A 25,619-nucleotide genomic window follows, 5' to 3' on the forward strand; every position below is an offset into this window, starting at 1 on the left:
AGACAATGAAATGGAGGTAGGAGTGCAAAAGGTTTATTAAAGAGTAACAAGTGTGAAAGTGTAAGGGAAAGAAGCAAAATTGCACAGGGGGAGCCATCAGACCATGCAACAGACATGACTATGGTCTCTGTCAGTCCACTGAGGAGCTTGTAGATAAACACTGGCCATGTGAGAAATACCACTTCAGATGGAAATATTTAAGTCCTTAGGCCACAGCCTTTCTTTGTTATAGGCTAGAGACAGCTCCAACGAGAGCAAGCCCGATAGCTGAGACCTATTCTAAATAAATTAATAGCTAGGGGCTCTCAGATAACCCCACTCTTCAGTTCTTTGCAAGTATCACTCATTGTTTTCTGACAGTGTGGCAATTGAAGACTAACATCAGTCAAGACTCTGGTTCCATTTTGATGATTTTTGCTTTTACCTGGAAGCTTTTATAATTGTTTCAGATTGATATCTTAAATTTCATGAAAATATGTTAAAGTACATATTTATGGTTGTCAATCTTCAATTTGATGTATTATAAAACATTTCAATATAAGGTCTTTCATGTTATATTGTTGGAACATTTTCTTCATTATTTCTTCAAATATTTTCTCTCCTCTCTTCAAGATGTCTCCCTCACATAGTTGGCAAGTTGGAAGCAGGTGTTGTCAGTGAGCTCAACTTGGGTTGTTAGCTGGGCATTGATTCTTCTTCACATGGGCTGTTGGAACCTGCTCATTGTATCACTGGGAGCAATGTGGGTTCCAGAAATGTGGAATAATTATGCCAGCCATCTTAAAGTTCAAAGTGAGAACTGGCTTAGGTTACCTTCCATCAATTTGAATGCTATTAGTCAAAGGAATGAAAAACCCAACCTCAGTGCAAGGGGTTGCACTTCACATCTCTGTTATGAACTGCTTTTATTTTGTGTGACTTAGATTGGGTAAAATAAATGATTGGGTAGGAGACAGAATATATATTTTACTTACATAATACATTTTAGATTTTGGTCAACTATTATTTTGCCTTAACAATGTAAGTAACAGAAATGTCAAATACAAATATCTTTTTTGGTTCATTTCCCTGAATCTTCTGGCAACTACTTCCTTCAGTTGTTCTTACTATCTGATGAATATCTATTCCTAGGCTAAATTGACAGAATTTTATTTATTTATTCTTTTTCTTTCACAAGTGAGAGGAATTAGATAGACAGACAGATAGATAATAGATATAGATTAGATAGATAGATGATAGACAGATGATAGATAGATAGGTGTTCAGTCGCATGTTCAGGTAAAATGATATTCTACTCTTGTATTTTTGACTCATCTTTCACAAATAACTGGAGTAGGAGCCTAATACTTTTTTCTTCTCGCCAAATGAGTGTAATGTTGAAATGAAAGGATCAAGAAGCATTTAATATTTTTATTTATTTATTTATTTATTTATTTATTTATTTATTTATTTATATTTATTGAGATAGGGTCTCACTCCCATCACCAGCACTGGAGTGCAGTGGTACCATTATGGCTTACTGCAGCCTCAACTTTCAGGACTCAGGTGATTCTGCCATAGGCTGGTGTTGAACTCCTGGGATCAAGCTATCCGCCTCTCTGAGTCTTCCAAAATGCTGAGATTACAGGTGTGAGCCACTGAGCCTGGCATCGTTTAATATTTTGACATAGCTTTAGTTTTGAAATGGTTTATTTCCACCTGATTCAAGCATTCACTCTTCCTTACTTGTTCTGTTCTCCTTTAGTCCACTGATTGAACTCACTAGTGAAAACTATTTCTCAGTTGGTGTATAAAAAGAAAGCTTATTTATTTATTTTTATTTCTTCAACTTATTTCTTCAAGTTGAAGAAAGATTCTCCGTGAGACGATTTTAATGTTTTAGATTATTTTGCTTTATGTTTTTATGAAAAATGACTGGATATGTTTATTTATGGGGTGACACAGTGAAATTGTGACATGACTTTTTCCTCCAAACAAGCTACTAATATATCTTACATCTCATTTCAGTATGTTTATATTTTATTGCAAAAAAGTTTTAAAAGATGCAAATGTGTGCCATATGCTTCTTTCCCATTCAGAAATACAATTTCATTTTATTACTAACTTTCAAATGAGCTCATCATCTTTCCTTACACAAAGTGATAGGAAAAAGTCTTTTCTGAGATTAGAGTTGATTCTACAAAGGGCACTCTATTTCCTAATCTGATGTGAGAAGCAAATTATTAAATACTCAAAATATGTGGATATGTAGCTATTTGGATGGTACATTAAATATGTACATAATCATACACTGTTCTCTGCTTTCTTTGATGTCATGCATACATTTTTTTCTCTAACAGTCCTCCATAAAATGCAAATGTTTCCCATTATAAAGCAACTGTTCTTTCCTTCTTTCAGAGAATATCTTCTTTTGTATCATTCACTTATATATAAAGTAAAAGTAAAAAGCAGCTACTTTCACATATATGAAAGTAAATAACAAGGATAAATGTCTCTCCCACTTGAGTCAACTGATTGTTATAATTGTAGTTCATTTGTTCATAAATAACTACGGATGATTTATAAAATTAAAAATATATTTACTCACTTCTGGAAATGGGATATTTCTAAAAACATTAATAGCATAATAAATCAGATAGCTTCTCTAAATATATGTGTAATTGGATGCAGAAATGATAGGATTTCTATCTTATGTATGACTATAAAAAGAAATATTTAGATAAAAATATTGTTTAAAATAATTTTCATTTGTAATATTTACATATGTATGTGTGTTTGTGTATATGTATGTGTGTGTGCATATATATATATATATATATATATATATATATATATATATATATATATAAAAATATCTGGATGCTTCTAACCAATTCCAATACTGAAAATTAGAAAATATACAGTTTTAGGCTATAAAATACCAAGTAATATTTATGTTTATTGACTACTTTTCTTATGAACTGTGATTTCATTTACACTTTTCACTATATTAAAAGAAAAACTTAAAATGTAGCCAATTTTGTAGTCAATGGAACAAAATCTTTGTGCAGTTGCTCCGCCTATATACAGAATTGAATAATTTATGTATTGTACCTCCTTTGGTTCTTGCTCAACCAACAGACTCTTAAGTGATGTGTATTAAACAGGTCCCCTTTACTCAGCACTATGCAATGGAGGATACTAAAGAAGACACTGTTTCTGTCTTTAGAGAGCTTATCATTTAATGGGGAAGAAAAGAAACAAAAAGTAATGAGAAAGCACTTTAAGTGCTCAGGAATTTGGTGCTTAATATAAATACACTAGCAATTCAGAAAAAAGAAAGATTGATGTGGATCAGGAGTATAAGAGTCAGTCAAGGGCACAAAAGATATTGTGTTGAACTTACTACTCTTACCTTTATTTCTCTTATCTCCTTATCCTATTCACATTATGTCCATTCTTCATTATCAAAATCAACTCAGAGTTCTTATTTGAAATCAATCTGGATTAGGTCTCTCCACTTCTCTTATCTGAGCTCCTGTTTTACTAACCATGTTTGTATTTATTGCCACATATATGATCATTTCCTGTATGAAAAATTATTTTATTTACATATGTGTTTTAGCACATATCCTCAGTAATTTTCAGAAAGTCTTTTTCTTTTTTTTCTTTTGAGGCAGGGTCTAACTCTGTCACCTAGGTTGGAGTGCAGTGGCACAATCTCAGCTCACGGCAACCTCTGCCGCAGACTCCCAAGTAGCTGGGATTACAGGTATGCACCACCACACTAGGCTAATTTTTGTACTATTTTGTAGAGACAGGGTTTCACCGTGTGACTCAGTTTGGTCTCAAACTCCTGGGTGCAAGTGATCCTCCTGCTTGGGCCTCCCAAAGTGCCAGAATTACAGGCGTGAGCCACTGCGCCCTATCTAACCTTCATATGTTAAAGATGGTTCTACATTTTATATTTCTCCATTGCCCCCCAGGAAGTTTGTGTCTATTTACACTTCCACCAACCAGTGACTATTTTCCATTTACTATTTCTTATATATTTGTCAATAGTGGGAAGGAAGCATGATTAATCCTTGCTGATTTTAAAGAAAAATAATACTTAGTTTTTGAAATTATTTGATTATTAGTAAGGTTAAATATTCAGCCAATATGCTTATTAGTGTTTTCACTTTGTAGAAGACTCTTTTTGTGTATTTCACATACTTTTTACTCAGTGTGCATGTCTTTTCCTTAAAATTCAAATATATTTAATTAATGTGTTCCTATAATTCCTTAGTTTTTTAGTTTAATAATAATTGGTCTCTTAAAATTTAACCTTCTGCTAACATTCATGTAGTTTTAATTGTATTCCCAGGGGGAAAAAAAGCACTGTTTTTTTAAGGTATGCTTTTACTTTTCTTATCTTTCTTGATAGTATAACTATGTAATCAATGAGCATATATTAGATGCTGGACAAATATTTCTTGAACAAATATTGGAAATCAATGATCCTGTTTACTGATTACATCAGCTAGCTAAAGGTCACATTTAATTGAATTTAAGTCTTTTTCCTATTGTTTTATGGAAATCTTGACCTAAGGAGTAAAAAATATTTTCAGTCATCTTGGGACAATCGCAATTGATAAAATATACTGAGTTATTTATTTTCATAACTCAAAAATTAGTCATTATTAAATAAAAATTGACATTTTCTGTACAAACAGAAGAATAAAAATTAGATAACAATTTGCATACATGGTGTGGTGGTTTTTAAATATGTTTTCAAATTCAGGTAGAATCAAGGTTTCCTCCCCTTGAACTAGGGCTGGTCTTTATGACTGCTTCAAGGAATAGGATGTGATGGAAGTGATACTGTGTGACTTCCAAGGACGGATTTTTTAAAAGCCATGCAGCTTCAATCAATTTCTCTTGGAACATTTGTTCTGACTGCCTTCAGCCTTCATGTAAAAAGTGTGACTACATGGTGAGAGAGAGACCTACATTTTAAGTGTCAGATATGTCAGTGAAGAATACTTAGAAATGACTCCCGCCTCAGACTTTATCTGACTACAATCCGGTGAGAGACCCCACATGAGAAATGCCCACAGCCCAGGCAAGCCACAGAATTGACAGCAAAAGAAGTACTCACATGAGGTGTTTAAGGTACTCACATGAGGTGTTTTTTTCCCCTAGTAATAGGTAATCAAACACATGGCAAATGGCTTCCTAAGATGAAACAATTTAAGTGTTGCCATTGTGTATTCTACTGAAATGTCTATGTCTGAAGGATCAAAAGCCATCTTACGACATATTGTTTTACTTGTATCAAAAGTAACTAAAAAGTAGACTTATACCCAATTCTGGAGTAAGGTGGGGAAAATTAAACCAACTGTACTTCAATTAAGCTTTTAAAGTTTTATAATTTATACTAAATTGTCGAAAGTAACTACCATCTATACTTTTGTCATATTTTAAATATTCGGTCTCTTTCAAATGAGAATTTCATTTGAAGTAAATACAGTTGGCTCTCTCTATTTATGGGATCAGCATCTGTGTATTCAATCAACTGCAGATTGAAAATATTCAGAAAAAAGTATTCACAAAGTTTCAGAAGCAAAACTTGAATTTTCTGTGAACTGAGTACTACAATGTATCCACACAAATGAAGAGATGTGTATGCATTGTGTTAGATATTATGAGTAATTTAGGGATGATTTAAAGTCTGTGTAATGATATGTGTTGTTTACATGGAAATAATACACCACTTTAAATGAGAGACTTGAGCATCCATGAATTTGGGTCTCCATTGGAAGTCCTGAAACTAATCCTCCCATAAATACTGAGGGATGACTATATATAGAAATAGGCATATTCATTCAGAAAGGAAATAGAAAACTAATTGTCAAGAGCTAAAACCACATTCAGTACAAATGATGTTCTTTGAATCAAATTTATATAGAAATAAAAATAAAACTGTAGTTAACTAATTTTTTAATTATAAAAAGCCTTTGTCTTTCTTTTCTGTAACATATATATATATACATAAAGATGGGAATAGAAAATAAACACAGCAGAATTCAAGTATACCACATATTCCAGGCTTGGGTGTAACAAGGTAAAAATATCAACTAAAAAAATCAGTAATTACTTTGAGTTTTTCCTAGTTTCTCCCATTCTCCTGATGTGTAAAATTGATCATGGTTTAGGATTTAGTTTATATGTGGCTTTTCTCCTATTACTGTACAGTTCCTGACCACACAGGCCAAAGAGGCTTATAAGTGTTTGCTAAAGAATGCTTTCCTGTACTCTACAGTCACATTTAATCTGGCATACAAATATGTCCTTATGTACAGCAGCATAAATGAAGAAGTAATGGAAGATATTTATAATTAATGTTCTTTGCTTTGCTTAGTTAATCTTACAATGAATCCATTGTCAATTATAACTGACTGCAGAAAGAATTACAGTCAGGGAACTTTAAAAAAAAAAGAAACAAAGTGAGCATTTACTTTTCTTTATCCCTTTTCTCCTTATTACATGTACTTTTAATCAGTTTCTCTGTAATGAGAACATTTAAAGGTTGAATTAGAGTTTATGAACCTATGAGAAAGAGGGTTTTGAAAGGGATAAAAATTCAAAATATATTTGGTAGGAAGAATCAAATGATACAAAGTTCAGTGACAGGGTAAGACAGATGAAAAAATCCAGATAAGAACTTTTAGGCTGGGTGCGATGGCTCATGCGGATAATCCCAGAACTTTGGGAGGCCAAGGTGGGTGGATCACCTGAGATCAAGAGTTCGAGACCAGCCTGATCAATATGGTGAAACCCCATCTCTGCTAAAAACACAAAATTAGCTGGGTGTGGTGGCACATGCCTGTAATCCTAGCTGTTTGGAGGCTAAGGCAGGAGAATCGCTTGAACCTGGGAGACAGAGGTTGCAGTAAGCTCCAGCCTGGGCAACAAGAGTGAAACTCCATCTCAATAAAAAAACTTTTTTAGAAAAGTATAAGTGCAAAATATAAAAAGAATCATTTTAAGTAATAACCAGTAAAAGGAGATAAATTTGAAGATGAAAACAACATTTTGTGGAATTTTTTCGTCCTCCAATTTTCATCTCTTTCATGAATTCAAAACAACATGATCAAAACCATTGTCTACATCTGTCACACCAGGCACACTACTGTCTCTTCAGATGCAGGTTCTTTATTCCTCACTAAATGATCTTCATACATTCTTGTTGCTAAGAAATCACAAAGAAACTCACATGCTTTCTCTCTAGGCCAAACAGCTCTTTGCTGTTTCTCTAAATCCTGCATTTCAAATTCCAAGCCATGCAATCCTAAAATATTATACTCCTTTTGATTATGCCATTTAATTAGGCCTTGCATAGATAATTTTATATTTTATGAGAACTTTCTAGGCTTTGGTTTTTTCATTGGTAAAATGAAAATAAGACAAAGGATTTTAATGAAAACATAGTACTTATATAGTATATAAATATAGTAAGTTCTATATCAATGTTATTTTTAACATAATATTAATCTTGTATAGCCATTTATATTTTAAGTATATGTCCTCCTTCAGCAAATATGTTATTGAATTTTGTTGTGTTTCCAGCATATTTCTCATGAAATATGTTCAATAATAATTTACTGTCATTTTCCATGTCCAATTATATGTTCCCTATTTTTAAGGGATCTATTTGGTTCTATTTTGAGCTTTGTCTCTCTTATCTCTCTGTATTATACCAAGGAACTATGATACAAAAGATCATCAAGCTGAATCTCAAAGTTGCACTCCAGCTATATAATAACCAACAAAGCAATTTCCTTCGCATCTAATTTTGTCTCCGTGTCTACAATCATGTCTTATTGTTCAGACTTTTACATGCTCAATTCTAGAATAAGCAAAATCTCACAAATTAATGTTAGCTCCACAGAATTCTAGTTTAATCATTTGTAGCTAAATTCAGACTATAAGCATGTATTACCTTTTTCTTCTTAGAAGGAGAACTGGTAATTGATGTGGGGCCAAACAGCACAGTACAGCAGAAAGGATCTAAATTTGGGAATTATACTGAGGTATGTTATTTTTTCATATATAGCTTTTTTGTCATGTAACCTCAGGAGAAGTACTCAGACTCTTTGAGTCTTATTTAACACATTATTGTAATAAAATATTTCAAATTTGATCATTATTGTGAATACTACTGTGCTAAAGGATTTTTAATGGTATCTGAAAAAACCTAGGCTCCCAAGATATGCATGAGTTCCCTTTCTTCACCTGGGTAGCTATTACAAAAACACATTGGCATTGCTTGTAATGGAATTTCTGCTTTTCTGGAATACAATAGGCCCAAGGAGATTTACATAGTGCTAAGTAACCAGATATGAAAATAATTGAATTGCTTTCATTCCATCTTCTTTCTAGGTACCTAGAAAGCAAGCAGAATACTCTTAGCCAAGAAAACAATATGTACTCATGTTACTACATGAGTACATAAGGAACATGGTCTAGAATTGGAAATAAACTCATGAACACCACACACAGTGTTAAAGCCAGCCCAAATAAATATAGAATAGTTAAAAAACTAAAATCATATTTTTTTCAGAGTCATTACAATTTCCAACTTTTGTGTGACTGTATATTTTTAATCATAATGTAGTTTTTTTCAATATGAAAGAAGATATATAGAAAGACTATTTGCTGAACTTGTTCCAATACTTTAATTTCAAAATAAGTCTAGGTATTTTAAATGGTTATATAAAATTGAAAACGTTTATATTATGTCTCAGAAATGTTCATAGCCTTGGAGGCAACTTATTTGTTTTCTTAATATGAGAAAATGCTCAAGTAAATTATGCTTTAAGTATTTGTGTACAAACAATAAGATCATATCTGGGACCCCAGTCAAATTTCTTTGGCTACAGATATTCATTCAAGATAGTTTGGATGTTAGTGACTCATGCTTTATTGCTTTTTAAATGGTTACTTAATATAAGCTGCTTTCAATGTTTCTTGAATTCCCTATCTTCTTTACAGCTTAATCTTTATGTTTTATCAAGCATGTATATAAAATACTGGTTATCCAAGGATTACTTTACAAAATATATAAATTGTATACTTTAAAACTTTTACTTTTAAAACTTAAGAAAGTTTATGTGTGTACACTTTTCTTAGAAAATGTGTATGTTATCTTTTAGAGCAATTTATCAATAAATTAATTTCCTTTTTATACAGATTCAGACCTGTTAAATACCATAGATTGTCTTTATTATTTAAGGATTATTAAATAGTAAATATGATTAAGTATAAAATTTTCTTCAGACTCTATTCCTGACTACATGAGGAGGAGAAAGGGAAATTTGGAACCTGAATTCTGAATCTTCTTATAATTCCACTCTTCATTTCATTTTGTCTTATTTAGTATTGACATTATATTATCTCAAATCAGTTTAATCATAAAATTAATGTGGAAAAATATTGAATAGCTCCTCATTAGCAAATAAAACCAATTATTTATCCCAAGCCAGACTTGCCACAGAAAAAGTAATGGCTAGGTTGGTTCATATCCCTAAATAAAGATTTTCAATTTCCTTCATGCCTGGTATAGTAGTATGTCTAATCAATTTTTAAGAACATAAAAGACAAACGCTGGGAGCTATACACTGAATGTTTGTGTCCCCCCAAATTTCATATGCTGAAATTCTAAACCTCAAGGTGACGGTGTCAGAAGGTAGGACCTTTGAAGGTAATTAGTGCTTTTATGAAAAGAACCCCAGAGCTCCCTTGTCACTTGTATGATGTGAGGTTACAGTGAGAAAATTATAGCCTATAAGCCAGAAAATCGGCCCTCCCCTGACACGGAGTCTGTCAGTGCCTTAATCTTGGATTCCAGCCTCCACAACTGTGAGAAACACATTTCTGTCACTTAATAGTTACCCAGTCTGTGATATTTTGTTATAACAGCCTGAATGGACTAAGATAACAGGAAATTTTGTGTGAAATAAAGGGGCTACTATTTGTAAAATAAAAGAAAGTGAGCCTGGCACACATAGTGTTACATGTTTCGAGATTAAAAGTAAAATATCTCTTCAAATAGATGATGATCACTACTTTCCAGACAGTAAAGATAATTATTAAAAATTACTTAAAATTTTTTTTGATTAATACTTTAGAGGTCCCTGGGACAGGGCGATTATGCTCTTGACTGCAATTATTTCTTTACTAGGGACTTATCTGTCAGCAGCCATAGCTGAAGTGGGCAATTACCCCCATTAACCTCCACCAATGTTTATCAGTATTGTTGTGCTAAAACATGGTTGAGGAATCCATTCAACTAAATATAAATATACATGGTCATCAATTTGACAGTTTATTTACAGATAAAAGTAATATTTTACAGACTTTTCTTAATCCTTTAAATCATTTTTAACAAATCTTATTTATAAAATGAATAAATTATTACAGGCAAATTTAAAGCCCCTTCCAATATTATGGATGTGACACATGTGCAAGTTCATTTTTTCCCACAGTGTTCCTTATGTCATTAATTACAGAAAATATTGCCTTTTTCTACTACTCATACTATGATGCGATACTCTTTCCACCAAGTAATTGATGGGACAATTTGTTTTAGAGATCTAGTGTAGACATATAGTAATTGCTGCCTGTTTCTAGATGATAAGTTCCATGAAGCTCCATGCCTATATTGCTCACCATAGTATTCTCAGTGCTTATTACACTGCCTAGCACATAACCAGAGCACACCAAATATGTGACAAATGAATTAATGAATATTTTCCCTGTTCTCACCTGCGACTCAAATTTTCCAAAGAAATCTTTGTTTCCCTGGGAGTTAGAAAAAATATTTTCTTTCACTAATCATTGTCATTTAATTTTTAGTCCACTTTAGTAATGTTCAGTCCCCAAAGCCATCTTTCTCCCTTGTCTTATGTATTTCCCTAAAGACCTGCCTTTTGATAGGTAATCAGTGCCTGTCTCTAATCACTTTGTATCTCTAAACTCTAATTCTCTTTTTTATTGGCAACTCTCATTTATTAGCGACAACAATAGAGAGGAGGAGACAAATACATTAAATTGACATATAAATTACAGATATACAATTTAAACGATTGTTTGAATCAAAAATCTTGAGATTCCCATATTTTGCCATTCATCTTGTTAGAAGTGTGACTGAGAAAGGAAAGGATAAGAAGCCTGACATAAAGAGTTTACAGAAATATTGAGAGGTTGACTTTGATTATGATGTTAAGATGATCTTGACATTTTTGTTCACTCATGCATTTTCATCTATGTCTCATGTAACATTGTGGGAATTACAGTAGTTGATTATCAAAAACACATAGATGCTCCATATGGACAGTGATGCAAATAGTCTGTGTGGAGCTAAACCATCACACATCATGACTGAAACCTTGGCAATAAATGGGGGAAGATGAATACCATAAGACAATGGGATTACTTGTCACTGAGAAAAGTGTTATCAAAACTAAACATACCAAAACGTTATATGTTCTAATTATTTTTGTTAGATTTTCCATTTGTCAAAAATGAGGAGTACTAATCAGTAGTGCTATGGAAACAAGACACTAACAGTTATAGTCCGGAAGAAGAGATGATAACATCTGTCCCTAAAAAGAGGTAAATTCATTTTAAAATGACTGCTTACGATTATTACTTGTTATGGTTTTGATTAATTTATCAAAGAACTCAGATGATGTTATAACACCTGCTACCAGAATTCCTCTCAGGGCAGGATAATCTTGGTTTGCCGAAATACTTTTTTAGCCACTTGGGAGAGAAGTTGAAATTTGAAGAGCATTGTCTTGGTAGAAATCTCTTAAAGAATACAATGATTAAACTGGCTTGCAGGAGAAATCCAGAAGAAGTTTATTTTCTTCCTGTGAAGGAATGAGAGAAAAATTAAAAGTAATGTAGAAAAAAGAAAGGGATAATAAAGGAACTAGATATATGGAATGGGTTAAGAGAAATACAGAGAAAGCCCATTGAAAAAACAAGGTGGTGTAATAGAAAAAACTTTATTTTAAGCAAAGACGCATATAATTTTTAAGATTCTGTTTTGGGCTGAACATCAGCAAAATGGTAGAATAGGGTTTTCCACTCCTTGTCCTACTGCATAAACATCAACTTGAACAACTATCTGAAACACACACAAAAAAACCATCACAGAGCTAAGGAAACCAGAAGAGAAATTATAGCACCTGAGTGTAGCACAGAAATAAGAAAAAAATGCATCAAAGAGGATAGAAAGGACAGTCATGCGTTACTTGCATCACTCCTTTCTCACCTCCAGGCAGCACAGCATGGAGAGAGATACTTCTGCTTGGGTGAAGGAGAAAACAGTGAGTACAAGACTTTGCCTCAGATCCCAACACTCAGTGTTGGGCAGCACCCATGACCCCAGACTTCAGGCCAATACCTACTGACTAAGCCTCTGGGTTGGTTCCAATGCCAGGCCAGATCCCACAACTCCAGACTCCAGGCTTGTTCAGCATACTTGGTCTCTGGGCCCACAGCAACACCAGGCCAAACCCAATGGCACCAGAGGACCCAGCCTCCAGACTGACCCCTTTGGATACATGTTCTAGGCTGATCCAGCATCAGGCCAGCCCCTGTGATCCTTGGCTCCAGGCTCACCTCAAGTTCCAACTCAGCTCTGACATATGTCAACCCATATAGCCCCAGGCCTCAGGCCCATGCCAGTGCCAGATAAACACCCCTAGCCTCAGGCACCAGACTGGCACCTGTAGATACAGGCTCGAGGCTTGCACAATGCTAGGCTAGTCCTTGCAGTTCCACACTCTAGGCCAGCCCCTGTGACCCCATGCTCCAACAGAACTAGGGTACAGGCTTTCTCTAGAAGACCCAGGATCCAGGTTTGCCCCAGTAGACTTTTACTAGGATATCTCCCACGGACTCAGGCTCTAGGACTGCCTCCTGTGGATCAGGTTCCAAGTCCACCTCCACAACCCTAGAACCAAGGCCAGACTTTGCAGGCCTAGCTTCCGAACCAACTACTGCACAACCAGCCTCTCTAAACCAAGGCTCTAGGCATTAGGATAGCACCTATGATGCCAGGCTCCACAGTAGCCCTTATGGGTCCATTTTCCATGTCTGTCCCAGTACCAGGCTGCACCTAGGCTCCAGGCCAGTCTTCATGGCCTCAGACTCCAGAGGATCCAAAGTCCAGTACTACTCTGGCATATCTAGACTACAGGCCCGCCCCAGTAGACCCTGGTGTCAGGCCAACTACCAGAGAGAGACTGAAGCTCCAATGCCACCCCCACAGGCCCAGGATCCAAGCCAGGCCAACCCCCATGGGCCCAGAACCCAGATCTTCCTGAACAGACTCAGGCTCCAGGCCTACTTCAGCACCAGGTCAGCCTGTGAACTCAAGCTTCAGGCTTGACCCACTGGACCCAAGCACCAGGATAATTCTAGCACCTGACTGACCTCTATAGACTCAAGCTCAAGGTCAGTCCCAGAGTCAAGTTAACTGCTGTGGATTTAAGCTTTAGGATGGCCCCAGGAGATGAAGGCTCCAGGTCTACCCTCACATACTCTTGCTCCAGATATATCTCCACAAACCCAATCAAAATATCCACTCCAGTGAGTCCAGGTTCCAAACTCAACCCAGCTGACCCAGATAACAGGCCCACTCACCTGCTAAACCAAGCACCAGACCTGCCTATCTGAGGACCCCAGCAACAAGCCAGCCCATGAACCATGCCAGACAGCCTGCTCAGAATCTCTGGATGGGCTGATTGGTAAAGGGTTTTCGCAGACACAGTCAATCTGCAGAGATGGTAATAACTCCGAACTTCTACAATAAACAGACACCAATACTAAGCCACAAAAATTAAGACCAATCGGGAAACATAACACTACCAGAGAAACAAAATAAAACACGAGTAACTGACCTTAAAGAAATGGATATTTATGAGCTCCCCAATTTAAAAAGAAATTCAAAATAAATGGTTTACAAAAGCTCAGTGAAATTCAAGAAAATACAAAGAAGCAATTAAATAAAATCAGAAAAATAATAAACAACTAAAATTAGAACTTAGATACACTGAGTGGCGATTCCTTAGGGATCTAGAACTAGAAATACCATTTGACCCAGCCATCCCATTACTGGGTATATACCCAAAGGACTGTAAATCATGCTGCTATAAAGACACATGCACACGTATGTTTACTCCGGCACTATTCACAATAGCAAAGACTTGGAACCAACCCAAATGTCCAACAATGATAGACTGGATTAAGAAAATGTGGCACGTATACACCATGGAATACTATGCAGCCATAAAAAATGATGAGTTCATGTCCTTTGTAGGGACATGGATGAAATTGGAAATTATCATTCTCAGTAAACTATCGCAAGAACAAAAAACCAAACACCGCATATTCTCACTCATAGGTGGGAATTGAACAATGAGAACACATGGACACAGGAAGGGGAACATCACACTTTGGGGACTGTTGTAGGGTGGGGGGAGGGGGGAGGGATAGCATTAGGAGATATATCTAATGCTAAATGACGAGTTAATGGGTGCAGCACACCAGCATGGCACTTGTATACATATGTAACTAACCTGCACATTGTGCACATGTACCCTAAAACTTAAAGTATAATAATAATAAAATAAAATAATTAAAAAAAAATCTTCTGACAAATGAGGATGGACACACAACTATGAAAACTTATGCAATCTAGCAAAAGGAGCTCTAAAACAGAAGTTTGTAACATAAACCCCTACAGCAAAAAAACAAGGATATGAAATCAACACCCGAATCTTATAATTCAAAAAACAGCAAACTATAATCCTAAAGTTAGATGTTAAAAATTAATCAAGATCAGAACAGAAATGAATAGAGACTAGGAAAAACAACAGAAAATATCCACAAAATTAGATGTTGGTTTATTGACAAAAAAAAAAAAAAAAAAAAAACAAAGGAAGAAAAATAAAACTTCAGCTGGACAAAATAGGGGGAAAAAAAGAGAAAAGACACAAATAGACATTACAACTGATCCCACCAAAATCCAAAGGTTCATAAGAGATTATTAAGAACAATGATATGCCAAAAAACTGGATAAATTAGAAGAAATGGATAAATGCCTAGACATGTACAACCTAGCAGGTGTGAATCATGAAGAAACTGAAAATCTCAATAGACTAATAATAAGGAGATTTGATAATGAAACGAAAAGTCTCCCATCCAAGAAAGGCTCAGGATTTAATCACTTTTTACTGCTCAATTCTACCAAACATATTAAAAAGAGCTAGTATGAATCCTCAAATTTTTCCAAAAAGGGCATATTTCCAAACTCATTTTATGAGGTCAGCATTACCCTGACATCAAAGCCAGACAAGGACACTACAATAAAGAAATTTACAGAGCAATAATATCCCTGATCAACATAGATACATAAATCCTCAATAAAATACTACCAAACCTAATTCAACAGCACATTAAAAAAATCATTAATCATGATGAAGTTGGATTCATATTAGAGATGTAAGGATGCTTCAGCATGTGGAAATATAACTATGATAGACTAACAGGATAAAGGGCAAAGACCATATGATAATCTTAATACATGAAGAAAAAGAATTTGACATAATTCAACATCCTTTTAAATAAAAACTGCCAATAAATTAGGTATAGAAGGAATGAACCTCAACACAGTGAAGGTTATATATGACCACCCACATCTAAGATTATACTCAACTGAGAAAAGTTGAAAGCTTTTGCTTTAAGAACAGGACCAACATGAGGATGCCCACTCTTGCCACTTGAATTCACCATACTACTGGAAGTCCTAGCCAGAGCAATTGGGTATGAAAAAGAAATAAAATTTTCCAGACCAGACTGACCTACATGGAGAAACCCCATCTCTACTAAAAAAAAAGAAAAAAGAAATACAAAATTCGCTGGGCATGTATTACACCTGTAATCCCAACTACTCAGGAGTCTGAGGCAGGAGAATCACTTGAACTCGGGAGGCAGAGGTTGCAGTGAGCCAAGATCACAGCATTGCACCCGAGCCTGGGCAACAAGAGTGAAACTCCATCTCAAAAAAAAAAAAAATGTAACCAAGTAAAAGAGGAATAAATGATTTTTTTTCTGTTTGCAGGTGAAATAAACTTGCATATAGAAAATTCTATAAAAACTTTACCTAAAAACTATTAGAAGTAATAAATAAGTAATCTTGCCTGACCCAAAATCAATTCACAAAAAACAGCATTTCTATAAACTAACAAGAAATATCAAAAAAAAAAAAAGAAAGAAAGAAATAAAGAAAACAATTCCTTTTATAATAGCTGCAAAAGTAAAACCCTTAGGAATAAATTTAGCCAAGGAGTGAAAAGTCAGTACACTACAGACTAAAAATTATAAAAGTGATGAAAGAATTTGAAGAAGACATAAATAAATGGAAAGCTATCCCCTGTTCTGCAGCCAATAAATGTATGAAAAAGCTCAGCATCACTGATCATTAGACAAATGCAAATCAAAACCGCAATGAGATACCATCTCACACCAGTCAGAATGGTGATTATTAAAAAGTCAAAAAATAACAGATGCTGGCAAGGTTGTGGAAAAAGGGAACACTTATACACTTCTGGCGGAAATGTAAATTACTTCAACCATTGTGGAAAACAGTGTGGTGATTCCTCAAAGACATAAAAACAGATATATTAGTTGACCCAGCAATCCCGTTACTGGGTATATACCCAAAGATAAATTGTTCTATCATAAAGAGACACTTCTCAAAAGAAGACATTTATGCAGCCAACAGACACATGAAAAAATGTTCATCATCACTGGTCATCAGAGAAATGCAAATCAAAACCACAATGAGATATCGTCTCATGCCAGTTAGAATGGCGATTATTAAAAAGACAGGAAACAACAGATGCTGGAGAGAATATGGAGAAATAAGAACGTTTTTACACTGTGGGTTGGAGTGTAAATTAGTTCAACTGTTGTGGAAGTGGCGTTCCTCAAGGATCTAGAACTAGAAATACCATTTGACCCAGCCATCCCATTACTGGGTATATACCCAAAGGATTATAAATCATGCTACTATAAAGACACATGCACACGTATGTTTATTGTGGCACTATTCACAATAGCAAAGACTTGGAACCAACCCAAATGTCCATCAATGATAGACTGGATTAAGAAAATGTGGTACATATACACCATGGAATAGTATGCAGCCATAAAAAAGGATGAGTTCATGTCCTTTGAATGGACATGTATGAAGCTGGAAACCATCATTCTTGGCAAACTATCACAAAGACAGAAAACCAAACACTGCATGTTCTCACTCATAGGTGTGAGTTGAACAATGAGAATACATGGACACAGGGCAGGGAACATCACACACCAGGGCCTGTCATGGGGTGGGGGCCTGGGGGAGGGATAGTATTAGGAGAAATACCTAACATGAATGAAGAGTTTATGGGTGCAGCAAACCAACATAGCATGTGTATACCTATGTAACAAACCTACACGTTGTGCACATGTACCCTAGAACTTACTAGAGGCCTTTATCTTTAGCAAACTAATGTGGAACAGAAAACCAAATACCCCATGTTTTCACTTATAACCTGGAGCTAAATTATGAGAACACATGGACACACAGAGAGGAACAAAAGACACTGGGGCCTACAAGGGGGTGCAGGGTGGGAGGAGGGGGAGGATCAGGAAAAAATAACCAATGTGTACCTGGCTTAGAAACTGGGTGATGAAATAATCTGCACAACAAACCCCCATGACACAAATTTACCTACATAATAAACCTACACATGTACTCCTGAACCTAAAAGTTAAAAAAGCATACGTATCAAAAAAGGCATCCCATATTCAAAGATTAGAAAATTTATATTGTTAAAATGTTCGTATTACCCAAAGCAAACTACAGATTTAATGTAATCCCTATTAAAATTCCAATGACAGTTTTCAGAGAAATGGAAAAGACAATCTTAAAATCTGCATGAAACCACAAAAGATTCCAAATAGCAAAAGCAATCTCGAGCAATAAAACCAGAAGCTGGAGGCGTGACACTACTTGACTTCAAAATATACTACAAAGCTGTAGTAATGAAAACAACATGGTACTGGCACAAAAACAGACACATAAGCCAACAGAACACAATAGCCTAGAAAGAAATCCAAGCATTTATTGTCAAATGACATTTTGACAAAGGTTCCAGGAACACATTAGAAAAGGAGAGTCTTTCAATAATTTAGGTTGTAACAACTGTATGTTCACATGCAGAATAATGAAATTAGACTCTAATCTATACTAAATATAAACATTACCTCAAAATTGATTAGAGATTTCAACGTAAGACCTGAAACTGTAAAACTACTAGAAGAAAACATAGGATATAAGCTTCATGACATTGGTCTGGACAATGAATTTTTGGATATGACCTCAAAAGTACAAGTCACAAAAGTAAAAATAAACCAGTAGGGCTACATCAAACTAAAAAGCTTCTTCTAGTAAAGGAAACAAATCAAAAGAGTGAAAAGACAATCTACAGAATGGAAAAAATATTTGCAAATCGTATATCTGATTAAAGGTTAATATCCAAAACATATAAGGAACTCAACTCAATAACAATAAAACAAATAACCCTATTTAAAAATGGGCTAAAGACCTGAATAAATATTTCTCAAAATAAGACATTTGAATGGCCAACAGGTATATGAAAAACTGCTCCATATCACTAATAATTAGAGGAATGAAATTAAAACCACAATGAGATATCAACTCAGACCTGTTAAAATAGATTTCATCAAAATATGAAGGATAAATATTGACAAGGGTATGGAGAAAAGAGAAACCTTGAATACTGTTGATGGGAATGTAAATTAGTACAGCCATTGAGGAAAATAATATGGAAATTTCTCAAAAATTAACAATTGAACTACCGTATAATCCAACAATTCTACTTCTGAACATATATCCAAAGGAAATGAAATCAGGATATGCAAGAGATATCTGTACTGCCATGTTCTTTGCAGCATTATTCATAATAGCCAAGATATGGAATCAACCTAAGTGTCCATCAGTGGATGCATGGATAAAAAGTGTGGTATATATACTATTCAGCCTTAAAATAGAAGAAAATTCTATTCATTTGTAATAATATCGATAAACTTGGAGGACACCATGTTAGTTAGAATATGACTGGCAAAGAAAGGCTGAATGATCTCACTTACATGTGGAATCTAAAGAGCTGATCTCATTGAAACAGAGTAGATGATAGTTACCAAGGGCTGCAGAGTGGAGTGGGTTTAGGAGATGTCGTTCAAATGATACAAAATTTCAATTAATCAAGAAATCTATTGTACAACATAGTGACTATAGTTAATAAAATGTATTCTTGAAAATCTCTGAGAGAGTAGATTTTAAGTGTTCTCTTTACAAAAAATTGTAAGTATGTTAGGTAATGCACATGTTAATTAATTCAATTTAGCATTCCACATTGTTTATATTTTTCAATACATCATGCTATACATAATAAATATATATAATTTTATAATTAATTAAAACAATGAATTTTAAAAAATATTCTGTTGGAGCATAATGAGAGCCTCCCCACATATAGATGTCAGTATTCAAATATTGATTTTATTTGTATGTTTGCTTGTTTTTGAGGTTGAAAGTCTCATGTCTTCATTGATATAGTGTGGGATTGGGACATCAGGAATAGTAGTAGTAATTAATATTAATGACTAAATACTAATTTGCATTGACTAAACTATGAAAGGAACAGGCCAAGAAAGTTGGAGAATATATAAGAAAACATGTATTCTAAATATTCAAATTTTATTACACTGTTAATAGTCAGACTACTAAACATATAACTCAAAAAAGTTATAGAATACATTTCTTAGTTGCCTTTCTAAAATAGGTATGACTTAGTTAAAGAAAAGTAAAAGGAACATTTATCTATCTGTCTATTGTACACACAGACAAATACATTTATACATATGTGAATTACTGGAAAATTCCACGTTTTGGGGAGGGAAATTAGGTAGTTGAAGAGATGATAAACTATACTTAAAAATAAAAATAATATTCATTAAAATTATACTTCAGGCAAGAAAATTATTTTCATTTCTTAAGAATGGTTTATCATCTCTTCAACTACCTAATTTCCCCCACAATGGAATTTTCCAATAATTCACATATGTATAAATGTATTTGTGTGTGTATACACCTAGACAGATAAATGTTCCTTTTACTTTTCTTTAAGTCATACCTATTTTAGAAAGGCAACTAAGAAAATTGAATATTTTCAATAGATTACACAAAATAATGTATTCTATAACTTTTCTGAGTTGTATCTTTATTAATCTGAATATTGACCAAGTATGCTAAATACTATTAGCACAGGTATCGAGTACAAAATTTTATTGTTTCAACATGAAAATACATTGGTTTTCTTCTACTTTTTTCTTGAGAATTAATGTGACTAAAATATATCAGATGATTTTATTCAAATTGCCTGACACATTAGTAGTGGTTGATAAATCAGCCTGACAGCAGGATTAAACCTCCTGATTAGACCTCACTGGGAGAAGAACAACATGCTTGACTGTGTGAGTTCCCAGGAAGCAGATTCTGAGAATTTAGTACTCAGAATGTTTACTAGGGAGGGCTTTTAGGATGAATAACTTAGGAAGGGAGGTTAAGAAAGCAAGATGGGACAAAGAGAGAAACTGAGTTGTGATAAATGCCCAAATGCTGTGGGAAGTGCTAAGGCAGAAATAACCTGTAGGAGTTCTCCCATCTTGCCCCATGTGGCTGTGCCCTTATACCCAACCTTTATCACGCATCAGACTTGGTCCATCCTGAAAGAGCTTTACCTTGGGCAAGGTGGCTCTACCTGCTACTGAGAAAATGAAGGCTGTCCACTAACAGCATTCTCAGTATCGGACCCAATTCTCCCCATGAAAGCCAGGTTTGTGATGATCATGAGCAATAAAATTAAATATTGTGGTAGAGTTATTTAGTTTAATTTGTTCTGTTTGTTTTTTACTTTGACTTTGTTCCTATTGTGGTAAAATCACGACTTGAGATCTATCCCCTTCCTTTTTTTTTTTTTTTTTAAACAGGGTCAGGCTGTGTCGCCCAGGCTGGTGTGCGCACAGGTCTCACTGCAGCCTCGGCCTCCAAGGCTCAAGCAATTCTCCTCCCACAACCTACTAAGTAGCTGAGACCATAGGCACACAGCACCATGCCCAGATAATTTATTTATTTTATTTATTTTTATTTTTTGTTGAGACAGTTTTTCACCATGGTGCCCCGGCTAGGCTCGAACTCCTGGGCTCAAGCAATCTTCCCGCCTCGGTCTCCCAAAGTGATGAGATTATATGAGTGAGTTTTCACACCCAGCCAAGATCTACCCTCTTAACAAATGTTTAAGCACTGAATACAATATTGTTAACTAAAGGCACAATGTTGCACAACATATCTCTAGAACTTATTCACCTTGGATAACTGAAAGTTTACACCCATTGAACATCAGCTCCTCACTCCTCATTTCCCCTTGTGCCCAGACCCTGGTAACCATCATTCTAACTTCCTGTTTCTGTGAGTTTGACTATTTTAGATACCTCATGGAAGTGGAATCCTGTAGGTTTGTTATTCTGTAACTGGCTTATTCCACTTAGCATAACGTCTTCCAGGTTCATCCTTCTTGTTGTGCATGGCAGGATTTCCTTCGTTTTTAAAGCTGAATAATATTTTATTGTATGTTATACCACATTTTCTTTACCCATTCATTTGTCAATGAGCATTTAGTTTATAACCATATCTTGACTATTGTAAACAGTGTGCAAAGAACACAGGAGCACCAATATTTCTTTGAGATAGTGATTTCATTTCCTTTGGATATATACTCAGAAGTAGAATTGCTGAATCACATGCTACTTCTATTTTTAACTATTGGAGGAACCACCAGGCTATTTTTCATAATGGCTGAAACACTTTTACATTTCCACCAATAGTGTAATAGCGTTCTAATTTCGTCACATTGTTGTTAGCACATATCTTTTGTCTTTTTGATAATAGCTATTCTAACAGGTATAATAAGGTGATACCTCATTGTAGTTTTGATTTGCATTTCCTTGACGATTCGTGATTTGGAATGTTTTTCTATATACTGTTGTCCATGCGTATGTCCTCTTTGGAGATTCCTATTTATGTTTTTTCCCATTTTTTAACCAGGTTATTTGTTTATTTGCTATTGAAGTGTTTGAGTTCCTTATATATTTTGGTTATTAACCCCTTACCAGATGTATGATTTCCAATCTATTCTCTGAATTCTTAGATTATCACTTTTCTTGGTTGATTATTTTATTTGCCGTGGAGTAGTTTTTTTGGTTTATGTAATCCCATTTGTCTATTTTCGCTTTTGTTGCTTGTGCCTTTGATGTCATATTCAATAAATCACTACCAAAACAAATGTCATGAGGCTTTTCCCCTATGTTTTATTCTAGGAGTTTATACTTTCAGGTCTTTTAAATCTTTCATCTATTTTCACTTTGTATGTGTGTGTGTTGTGTGTACCATGTAAAGTAAGGGTACAATTTCATTCTTTTGCATGTGGTATCCAGTTTTTCCAGCACCATTTGCTGCAGAGTGGATAATACACTATAATCAAGTGAGATTTATCCCTCAGCATGGTTCAACATATGTAAATCAATTAATGTGATATACTACCTTAGCAAAGTGAAGGATAAAAATCACATGATCTTCTCAATAGATGCAGAAAAAGCATTTGACAAAATCCAACATAGTTTAATGATAAAAACTCTCAATAAATAAGAATAGAAGGAATTTACCTGTGGGAAATTCTTGCTTATTGAGAGTTTTTATTCTTTTTTCTATTCTTGTTTATTAAGAGTTTTTATCATGAAAATATGCTGGATTTTTCATAAGTGGCCTTTATACTCAATGGTGAAAACCTGAAAACTTTTCTTCTAATATAAGGAATAAGGCAATGACTCCTATTTTACTACTTCTATCCAACATACTACTAGAAGTCCTAGTTGGAGAAATTCGGCAAAGAAAAAGAAATATAAAGATTCCAAATCAGAAAGGAAGAAGTAAAATTATCTCAGTTTGCAGATGACATAATCTTATATTAAAAAATCCTAAATAATTCTCACATACAAACAGAAACTGTAGAATTGATAAACAAATTCAATAAAGTTGCAAGATACAAAATCAACATGAAAATATTAGTTGTGTTTTTACATACTAATAATGAACTATCTGAAAAGCAAATTAAGAAACAATCCAATTTACCATAACATTGAATATAATAAAATATTTAGAAATGAACTAACTCAAGAAGGTAAAAAACTTTTACACAGAAGACTATAAAACATTGGTGAAAGACTTCAAGATACATACAAATAGAAAGGCAACCTGTGTTTATGGTTTGGAACAATTAATATTAAAATTATCATACTACTCAAAGCTATCCATAGATTCAGTGCAATTCCTATAAAAATCCCATGGCATATTTTACAGAAATGAAAGACAACAGTCCTTAAATTTATATGGAACCACAAATAAACCTCTAATGGACAAAGTAATCTAAAGAAAGAAGAGAAAAGCTGGAAGGCATCAAACTTCCAAATTTCAAAAACATATTATGAACTTCAGTAATTAACACCATATGGTATTGGCATAGACATGAACATGCAGACCAATAGAACAGAATAGAAAGCCCATAAATAAACCTATGAATGTATGGTCAACAGGTGTTCAGCAAGGATGTCAAGAGCACACAATAGGGAAAATATAGTCTCTTCAAACAAATGATGTTGAAAAAACTGGATGTTCAGGTGTAAAGTTATTTTAATATAACCTGTTCCATGCTGCATCACGTTGGTCATTTTTTAAAAAATACTGTAATTTGCATAGATATCAATGGCATTTATCTCTTATGCCATCTTTGTATTATCTTAACTTTCACCCCAGAAAGAGCAGTGTGACACTGTCTATTTTTAACAGTTGTTTGATGATTTTTTTAAAGCTGAAAATGTAACAGTTTGTGGTGGTAATCCATTTCCAAATATCCTAGCAAATTGTAGATGTCAAAGAGCCTATCTTAAAGAATTTCGGAGCTGAGTTATTTTTTTCCCTAACATTAGCAATGACCATTTTCACTTTGACTTCACAGCATGTCATCATGTTTCACTTGCTCACAATTTACTCCATTCCCCTGCATGCTTCCCACACACAAATGTTGATGCTTACATTTCCTCTACCATTCCTTAGGCCCTACTCTCTCCATGACTGGCTACAGATTTGGTACTGAGGAATTTATACCTTGTTTCAAAAGTCTGTGAAAATTTTACCTGATTAACTAGAACATTATTTCCATTAAAGCATCATGTGTCTTTTACTTCTTCCATCCTAATACCCACCCAATCATTGACTTTCAATTGTTTGTAACATAATGATAACTTGAATATGAAAATATTATGATCTTCAAATAAAATCCTAGGCTGCTGTCTACCACCAAGTGTACAATTTGCCATTTCTGATTATAGAAATATGTCTTAACCTTAAAGAATCAAGGACTCCAGGGATCTTTAAGTTCTGGTAGTGAGGAGAGTCAAAAAGGTATATCTCACCAAAGAGCCAGTGAAAAGGTAAGAACATCATTATCATATTGCAAATTTAGAACCTAATGTAAAGTTGAATTTTAAAAACAGAGTCAAGGCTGGGCATGGTAGCTTACACCTGTAATTCCGCAATTTGGAAGGCCAAGGCAGGAGGATTGCTTGGGCCTGGGAGGCAAAGGTTGCAGGGAGCCATGATTGATCATGCCACTACACTCCAGCCTTGGCGACAGAGTGAGATGCTGAAAAGAATGAACACAAGAAGGAAGGAAGGAAGGAAGGAGGGAGAGAGGGAGGGAGGGAGGGAGGAAGGAAGGAAGGAAAGGCTAGAGTCAAGAAGTTGAAAGTAAATAATGAAACCAGGTTTTCAGCGGCAATGGATCATTTAAACCGAGGATTTAGACAAGAAACAATCCAAAATAATTTCTGCAAAGAAGAACCATAGTATAATGGTGCTACAGTCCTAAAACTTAACAGCTCGAAATATGCCATTTTGATGACTGCAAATATCCGATATTCAGGCATTTCTCAGTACAAATTAGTTATATATTTTTGCATGAGAAATTCAACCATTATGGTTGTAAGATGGAGCTAATATTACTAAATGTCTTCCATATGTCCAGCACTTTATATATGGCATTTTAATGAATCCTTTCAGTGGCTTTATGGCATAGGTTTTATTAACTCCATTTTAAAAAGAAAAAACTGAGGTTCAGGGAGGTAAAGCAATTTGCCAACACTAGGAAGATCTGCAATGAAAAATCTGCCCAACTTGAAAGTACACTTAATTTTCACTACTGTAGGTTGTCTAACTATGAAGGACATTATCTCAAAGGACAAAGTATATGTATCTTTTGTTTGTGGCCAGGCAGATACACACTCACACAAATCATGGGTGCTTCAGGTCCCATGTTTCAGTGTGTATGTGTTTG

At 34.6% G+C, this 25,619-nt stretch overlaps 1 long non-coding RNA gene across 5 annotated transcripts in view; it reads left to right on the plus strand.

The window, feature by feature from the left end:
• Positions 1–24,781, plus strand: part of LOC105369842 (uncharacterized) — an 86,958-nt gene extending 62,177 nt beyond the window's left edge. For 2 of the 5 annotated variants that reach the window (XR_001749204.2, XR_945099.3), the window contains exons 4-5: positions 7,978–8,054; positions 11,529–12,286. This is a non-coding gene — a long non-coding RNA (uncharacterized LOC105369842). Of the gene's footprint in view, positions 1–7,977; positions 8,055–11,528; positions 12,287–12,310; positions 15,008–24,615 lie in introns of those variants that run through there. The other 3 variants (XR_001749205.2, XR_001749206.2, XR_001749207.2) reach the window with 3 other exon arrangements.
• Positions 24,782–25,619: the final 838 nt, after the last annotated feature.

The sequence above is a fragment of the Homo sapiens genome, chromosome 12 (genome assembly GCF_000001405.40).
Source record: "Homo sapiens chromosome 12, GRCh38.p14 Primary Assembly".
NCBI lineage: Eukaryota > Metazoa > Chordata > Mammalia > Primates > Hominidae > Homo > Homo sapiens.